Below are 8,781 nucleotides of genomic sequence, written 5' to 3'. Positions count from 1 at the left end.
AGTCAGAAGCTGTCCTCTGAGGATGGGGGCATTTTGGAAGACTCTATCTCTACCCCTTTGGGGGTGCTCCCATTTTGCCTAAAAACCCATAATACACAATGTGTTATAAACTCCTGATTATTTCAAAACTTCCAAAATTTTTTAGGAGTTGCCTCTTTCCATTTGGTGGAGATGGCAAGCAGCTAACTATAGCAACAAAATCTCCACATGTTACTATAGTAATGCAAAGAAGAAAACAACATATTTGCCTGATAAACCAGGCTGAAGCCAGTCAGAATGTTGTTTTTTTTAGGATTCATTTCCAGAAACCCTCAAATTTACAAAGCTTAGGGATGTCTAAATTCTTCTCCAAGATTTTAGCAAAAGCCCAAGAACTAATAATCATATTTTCACATCCTACCACCGAACTGGTCCCATGTAAACCCAAAATCAGAACTAAGCTCTGTACCACTTTCTAAAAGAAACCTAGCATCAGATTACAATTCATTGTAAGGGGTTAAGGCACTGAGCACATAGAATTCCTCTTCCTTTCTTTCTGTCTTCCCCTCACTCTTTTTCTCTCTCCTTCTCACCCTCAGGCTCTTTGCTCTTGAGCTCTTTGCCTGCTATAAAGCAGATGGGTTCTCTGTCTCTGAAGCCACAGCATGAATCCTTTTTACATGCCTTAGGAATCACCTACTCCAAGGGGGCTTTTTTCTATATATTTTCATGATACCAACTTGTCTTTTCAGAAGAGGAACATCCTACCAGATACTAAAAGAATAAACATTTTTTTCCATCTCGTTATCCTAAGATAAGAAGCCAGTATAATTTTAGGGGCTTAATTTGTAGACTCTAATAATTATACTTTACCACCTATTACTATCTTTCCTCTAACTAAAGTTGTTGCTCCCTTTTTACAAGGAAGAGGAGTTTTAAAGACCTCTTTGGCATTTACTAGTATTTTGGCAATTTGGGAGTTAAATACTTAGAAAACATGATTTTATCAGTCCCCCTTTAAACTGTCTGAAATATGAATGCAAAGCAAAGAAGCATTAGATTTCAGTTATTTATTCATTTATTTATTTATTTATTTATTTTAGCTGAACATGGAAAACTGGCATCTCTCAGAGTTACATTAACAGCAATTAATAGTCCTCATGGTATCAGTTGTGTCCTGGGCTTTATTTCAATACCAGAACATATGTCAGTAACCTCTATTGAGGAATGCCAAGTCTCTTATAATAAGGGGGCTCTGTTAATATATTTACCCACAATGAGGCAGGACAGTGCAGAGCGGTCGTTCTTAATTCTGACTGCACATTCAAATCATTTGAGGGCAAGGGAGCTTTTAAGACACATTGATCTCCTTGGCCCACCCACAGAGATTCTAACTTAATTGGTCTGGGGTGGGGCTGAGAATTTGGGCTTATTTTAAAACCCTCCAAGAGATTCTCGTGTGCAGCAAAGAAACCCCTGGTATGGCACAGTGCATCTCAAACTTGACCCTGTGCATGACTCTGACTCGGTAGTAGGCCTAGGGACAACCCTGACATTCTGTGTTCCTATTCAGCTCCTACACGGTGTTCATGTTTGGGGTTGTCAGGACCACACTTGGAGTAACAAGAGCAGACTAAAATTGGCATTATCTTGAATATTGGACAAACCTAAGTCTGAGAATTGATTTGTCATTTGGTTTTGTTCATATTTGACTATAAAGCACTGAACTTTAATCCTGTCTTCTGTAAAGTGGAGATAAAACGTGTTGCATTTAAGGGTTAATGTATAGAAGCAAAAGTGTTACAAAAGGCAGCTGGCAAAGGGCCTGGCACTCAGTGGCTCAATAAAAACTACTTCCATTTCACTTTGTTCCTCTCCACCTTCCCAAGCACCTCCAACCTTCAAAAAGGCAAAGTTGTTATCTAAAAAGAGGTTGTTATGGGAACGTTGTCCTTTGGAAAAAAGGAATGGAGGGTATCAGTAATCAACATAGCTTAGTGTGGACTGGTGCGTTGGCTCACTCCTCAGATTACTGGTGTGTAATCTCAGCACTTTGGGAGGCTGAGACAGGAGGATTTCTTGAGCCCAGGAGTTCAAGACCAGCCTGGACAACACGGCAAGACTGCATCTCCACTTAAAAACAAAAACAAACAAACAAACAAAAAAGGTAGCTAGTGGCTACTAACCCAGGAGTCTGGGAAACAAAACCAAACTTGAGTTTACAGTTTTAACTGGAAATCTTTACATTTTTGAAATATAACCTCTGCCAAGCTCCTTGCCTTTGATTATATTGGTCCTCTCATCTAGAATGCTCTCTTTCCTCTCCATTACAAATTAGAGCCTCTAAATCCCTAGTTCCAAATTAAAATCATCATTTAAAGGTAGGGAGAGTCTACTAGGCAGGTATTTTAAGGGGATAGAGCATATGGGTTATAACAGTGGATCCAGCTACTGGAACATGCCCCATCAATCTGGAAAAGATGTTTGAGGCCAGAGTTTTAACACCAGATGGAGTTGGAACCATATGCTGGAGGCAATGGGAAGGCGTGAAGGGTTTGGTAACATAGAATAAGTGTAGCATTTTTGAAATGTTAACATGCTTGAGTTGGGGGTGGATCAGAAGAATGAAAATGAGAGGGGAGCAGAGAAGTGAATGTCACTCATTTGTTCACGTTTACTGATTGCTAATTGTGTGGGGGACACCATGCCTGATGGAGGAAATGTATGGTCAGTAGACAAGTATTTTTCTTGCTCTAGTGACATTTTCTTCTACTGTGAACTTCCATCCTATGACTGAGACAGAGAGTAACCAATGATTAAAATTAGGACAAGTGTCTAAAGGAAAAACATAGAGTGCAATGAGAATAAAATAATAAGAGAACCTGACCTCTTGAGGTCAGGGAAGTCTACCCTTGGAAATGACTATCAAATGCTCTCAAGCTGAGCCTTTACCTATTACAAGCGCTCTCTAAAGGTGGGGTGGAGGTGCGGGGTGAAGTACGAGATGTATTATTTACATCCTGACTGTGCCACTTACTAAGTGAGAGACTGGACAAGTTATGTTTCCTTTCTTATAAAAATATATATATATATAGTTACACACAGTTTCAAGGATTGCTGTGATGCTGAATGAGGCAATGCATTGTTAACAGCACAGTGCTTGGTACATAATGAAACTTAAAAGTGGTAGATACCAGGCCTTGTTTTTCAGTCCCACTTACTGAGCGCCTAAGTCTCTGTGGCAGAAACAGTAACTGCAGGTTGATTATTCATCTGGTGCCCCACCTTCCAGACCCTTTTGGAGGAGCATGTGGTTGGTTCTGGTTGTGAGAAGACTGACACGTGTCACTTCTGGATGGATTCGCTCCTCTTTTCTCCCTCTGTGTTGACCATGTGGGCAGGTGTTGAGATATTAGGGGGATTCAGCTGGGTCCCTGTATTTACTATGTGGGGCACAGCCTCAATCCCCTCCATAAACCTCATTCAACATGTAGCTTGAACAAGAGTAAATCTTGTTTAAACAAGTCATTTTAAAGGGGTAGATTTCTTATCTCTGAAGAACCTAGCCTATCTTTTCTAAAAGAGTGCCAAACACCAAGAACTTTTCATATGTTTTTACTTTATAAATATTACAAAGTAAAAAATTATAGAATATACTTTAATATATTAAAGTAGTATAAGTTCAGAATCTATTGCATTTATACAAAGTAAGATAAATGACTGAAGAAAACAAAATTTTAAGCCCATGTTAAAGGAGGTAACAGCAAGGCTTGAGAAAACAACCCTTTACTTATTGTTGCTGTTTGTGCAATAAGTTTACACCAAATACAGGAAACATTGGAAGAGAGGGAGACAACATTTTATGCTTCTAGAACAAACGGCTTTGCATCTCATGTTGCTTTTGGTCTTTGCTAAGGATCTGGACTTCAATGTAATTTGTAGCCTCATTCCACGACTTCCCAACCCCTCCCCACTGACATGTAATTACAGACTCAGATTTGTTCAATTTCTTCTTTAGAAGTGGATCTACTGCTCTTCTGTTTACTGAGTTACCTCTTGAAGTGCTCTTGCCCTTGTCTTCAGCCATATCTCTAGGTAACGCTTTTTGCTGCTCTTCTCTTTGGCTTCTTGATTTGCCATGGATACAGCTCAGGATTGCAGGGGTGGTACAGGCTGCAGATTTGTTGCCATGGTGCTCAACAGGTGAAAGAGAAAGTGACTGCTTCCTTGGGAAACATCATGTAATACACCTGTATCTTTTCCCCTCTCCCTCCTTCCACCCCTCCCGTTGGTTGTTTGTGGTGGATACAGACATATTCTTGTCAGGTATGAGAATTCTTCTTGCTTTACTTGATGCAGACATCTTCAAACTGGATTTCTGTCAAGCTCCTCCATTCCACATCTCCTGAACATTATGAAACCAGCTTCAACATCAACTTGTGCTCAGATAATAGCGTTTTGATAAGCTTCTGATAGTGTGTTATTCATATATTTCCCTTCATATATAAATACTAAGCATTTTCTAAGTATCTTCTTCAGCAAAAAGATCTTCTCCAGCATAAAAAAAAAAAAAAAGAAAGAAAAAAGAAAAAATATTCACCACCTCTTAACTTGAATATAAGTAACTTAACTTTTGATATTGGCACACTGGGGTTTTTTTCTTTGTAATTATCTTTTGCGGCTAGGTTGTAAAAGAAAAGGAGCTGAGTGATAGAGGACTGGCTGGATGCTAATTTTGGCTTGGCCACCAAGTAAGATAGAATCATCTGTTTGTTCAATCATTCTTTTATCCTGAACACCGATGATGTCTCAGAGACAGATCTAAGTATCAGGGTTACCGCAGCAAACAGAAAACGTACCTGCTTCAGGAATCTTTCATTCCCCGGTGGAGACAAACTGTAAACCAGGGTCTCTCAACTTTAGTAAGAATCCAAATCACCTGCAGGTGACTATTAAGACACATTTCCTAGCTCTGGGGTGGGGTCCAAGAATTTGCATTTCAAAAAGGTTTTCAGGTGATGGCCATGGCCCAGAAAACACCCTTTGAGAACAACTGATACAAACAAATGAATGGAAAAATACATAAAATAATGCCAGTTAGTGATGAATGTTATTGTTAGGTTCAGGGTCAGGTTCCAGCCCATGCTGAGGTCCGAAGGGAGTGGGTAGATGAACGGCAGATAGCTGAAAGAACACTTGGAGGGCCGTAGGTAGGTGAAATATGGCTTTATTCAGCAACTCTCTCATCAGCAGCTCTCTTACACTGTCTGCTGTGTCTCAGCTGCTTGCCCTGGCCACTGCCACACATAGCTGCATGGCCGGCTCTCCTACAGGGTCAGCAGCTTAACTCTTTCTCTCTCTGGGCACAAGTGCACCTGTACAGTGTCAGCAGGGCAAGTGTATCTTCTTTTTTTTTTTTTTGAGATGGAGTCTCACTCTGTCACCACACTGAAGTGCAGTGGTATGATCTCAGCTCACTGCAACCTCCGCCTCCCAGGTTCAACCGATTCTCCTGCCTCGGCCTCCCGAGTAGCTGGGACTACAGGTGTGTGCCACCATGCCCAGCTAATTTTTGTATTTTTAGTAGAGATGGGGTTTCACCGCATCAGCCAGGATGGTCTCGATCTCTCGACCTTGTGATATGCCCAACTTCACCTCCCAAAGTGCTGGGATTACAGGGGTGAGCCACTGTGCCTGGCCGGCAATTATACCTTTTACAGAAAATAGTGGCTTATGGCCAAGGGATGGCCTTCCCATGTTATGGCTACATGGGTGTGATCACAGGTGGAGTTATATGCCTGCACTCTAAACTCGCTGAGTCACGCAGGATGTTTACCTCAGCCTATGCCCTCTTGGCCACAGCACAGCCATGTTCCATACACTCCACCCCATAGGCCGAGGGGAGACATAGGTGTTGGATACACAGGCTATACACATAAGCTTTGGGTATATAGGCTTGATATACACACTCCGGCTCTATACATAAGTGTTGGGCACCTAGGTTTGATATACAGGCTTGGCACACAGTTATGAAGCCAAATAGCTCAGGGAAAGAGAACCGAGGATGATGCAGTGCAGTGTGTGCTGCTATTTTAGGTTGAAGCTTCAGAAAAGGCCTATCTCCTGACTGAAGTGAGGGAACAAGGTTTTCGGGTATCTGGGAAGACAATTGCAAGAAGAGCAGAAGCACATGAGGAAGCCTGGGCCTGGAGCCGCTGGGTCTGGCTGCTGTCATCCTGGTAGCTCTGTGCCCTCAGGATGCCACATGCGTGTACCACTGCATTTAACCTGATGTATGGTTGGATTTGTTTTGTGTTTTAGTGCTCTGTAGCAGAGATAGTGCCATTTTCATACTTGAATCCCAAAAACCTTAGTACCAAGAAGTAGCTCTTTAAGTGAGCCAGGCACTATTTGAATCACTTCAAACCAAATAAACCCATTTAATCCTCATAAAAGCCACAAAACATATGTCCTGTTGCCATCCCCATTTTACAGGCCAGGGAATTGAGGCACAAAAGAGTTTAAGCCATTTGCTTAGGATCATAGAGATAGGAAATGGCAGAACCAGGATTTGAGCCCACCTCTCCTAAAGATTGGGTGGATGAATGGATAGATGGATGAGTGAGATGCTGAAATTGAGCCAAGAAGAGTTATCAACTGGCTTCTATATTTTAAGAGAGGATTTGTAACACAATTGGAACCAAGAGGTGGATGTTTCTCCTGCAGAGGAAGAAAAATGCCCTGGGTGGTGGAGTCCAGGTGAGAGGATGCATGTGAGGGCAGGTCTAGAAGGAATGAGACCAGGTGTGTGTCAAAGTTGCTTGCCTAGGCAGGTAACAAGCTCCCCCTGCATGAAAGCAGGACATGCCTTTGGAAGCTGGAGGGCGAGAGAAAACAAATCCAGCAAACCCCTTCCTCTCGAAGGACCCTGACAAGTTGTGTTTTAATCTAATTAATACATTCAGGAAGTTGGACCAAGAGGAATGTGATTATTTAATTGTTTTGTTCAAAGGGTACAAAGCAAGCTATTAGTCTGGGGTCATGACTCCAAGGTTCATATCAGGTTATTACCAAGGAGGGTTTTGGAACAAGAGTGGCTGATTGATTCTTTCCCGCTGTTACCCTCATTAATTTACAAAGATTCATTGTGTCAGGGCTAATTTGCAGAATCTGGAACAAAATGTAAAACAGACTCAGACTGATAAGAATTGTTTTGTATCTGCAATTCCATCTTGTTCCTTCCCCTACGTTTTCCCTTCTAAAGATTTTCAGGTACATGAATTTCCAGTCTGATTATAATGAACTCTTTTTCCACATGGCAAAAGTTGTCTCTACTGATTAAGCAACAAGCAGGAAGTCTATACTTGGCATTTTATTTCCAGCCCAGCAAAAATGTGGCTCTTCTATTACTCTCCCTGTGACCCAGAAAAAGTCATTTAACTGTTACTGCTAAGATTCCCCGTCTGCAAAATCAGGAAAATAAAATGCAAATCTGAACACCTTATACCGACCTTCCCGTTAACATTTTTACATCACTCTCATGGTCTGCAAGACAAGCTTCAGGCTTGATATTTCCAAACCCTTGATGATTGGCCTCAAACTTCTTTTCTAGACTCAAATTCTGCCACTGTTCAACAAGTATTTTCTGTTCTATTGTATCAAACAATGGCTGGTATTTATTCTTTCTCTGGAAAGCCTTCCCTCACCTCTGGATATTTGCCAAATTTCTTTTCTACCTTTAACTTGCCATCACTTTCATGAAACTTTTCCAGCTCCTATAGGCAAATTATTAATAATCGATGACTTATATATCCTTTCTTAGTCCTTCCATTAATGCTCACCATTTTATCATAATTATTTGTCTAAATGAATATTTTATTGTAGTTATATATGTGTGTGTGTGTGTGTGTGTGTGTGTGTGTGTGTGTGTGTATCCCCTACTTGACCGAGCTTCTGAGGGCAGGGAAGTAGATTATATCTTAATCAGTTCTGTATGCCAAATTGCTAACAACCTGATTGGCAACAACAGGAACTTATGTATTGATTGAGTGAATAAAGGAAAGCATGTCTGGCTTGCCTGACCCCTAAGATTATAATGAGCAAATCATACGTTAAATGCTAACGCTCTTTGTAAACCAAAACAACAGTGTGCTGATGTTAGGAAACATTTCTTTACTGAAGTGCTCTAAAAACATTTTCCAACTCCATCTTGATCATGAAGCTTTAATATTTTCTTTCTCTTTATAAAATGCAGTCATTCATTCATTCTTTCTTGATCTCAGAGTATTAAATATTTTCTGTTTTTTTTGTCAGAAGCAGTAGAAGCAGTCATTTATTCATTTAGCCATTTTTCATGTAATCAACAAATATGCCTGCCAAGAAATGTGCGAGGCACCGAAGACAGAATGAAAAGTTAGAGAAAAGTGGCCGCAGGCCTCATGGATCTCACAGAGGCACCATAGATGAGGCATGAGTAATTCCCTCAGGGTTTGGGCTGGTCAAACTCTTCCGAGTTTGGGCTGCCACCTCACTTTAGTGCCTCTCGTGTGCACTGACCGCAGGTGGTATCCTATCACCCGGGCCCTTTATTCATCATAATGCTTTGATCCTTGGTGGGTCTAACCTTACATCTGAACATGTTCCTTTTTTGCTCAGCAGGACTGGATCCAGGTTATTGGAGATGCCCCAGGGTGCTCAGCAGCCAGTTTCCTGGGCTGGTCCGCCAGATTCCAGCTGCCATGAGCTGCAAGGAAAAATGCAAATGAACCAGTTCTTGGAAGGATTTGGCCTAAGGCCTAGACT

This window comes from Homo sapiens, chromosome 8 (assembly GCF_000001405.40).
Source record: "Homo sapiens chromosome 8, GRCh38.p14 Primary Assembly".
Lineage (NCBI taxonomy): Eukaryota > Metazoa > Chordata > Mammalia > Primates > Hominidae > Homo > Homo sapiens.
This window is presented reverse-complemented; position numbering follows the sequence as displayed.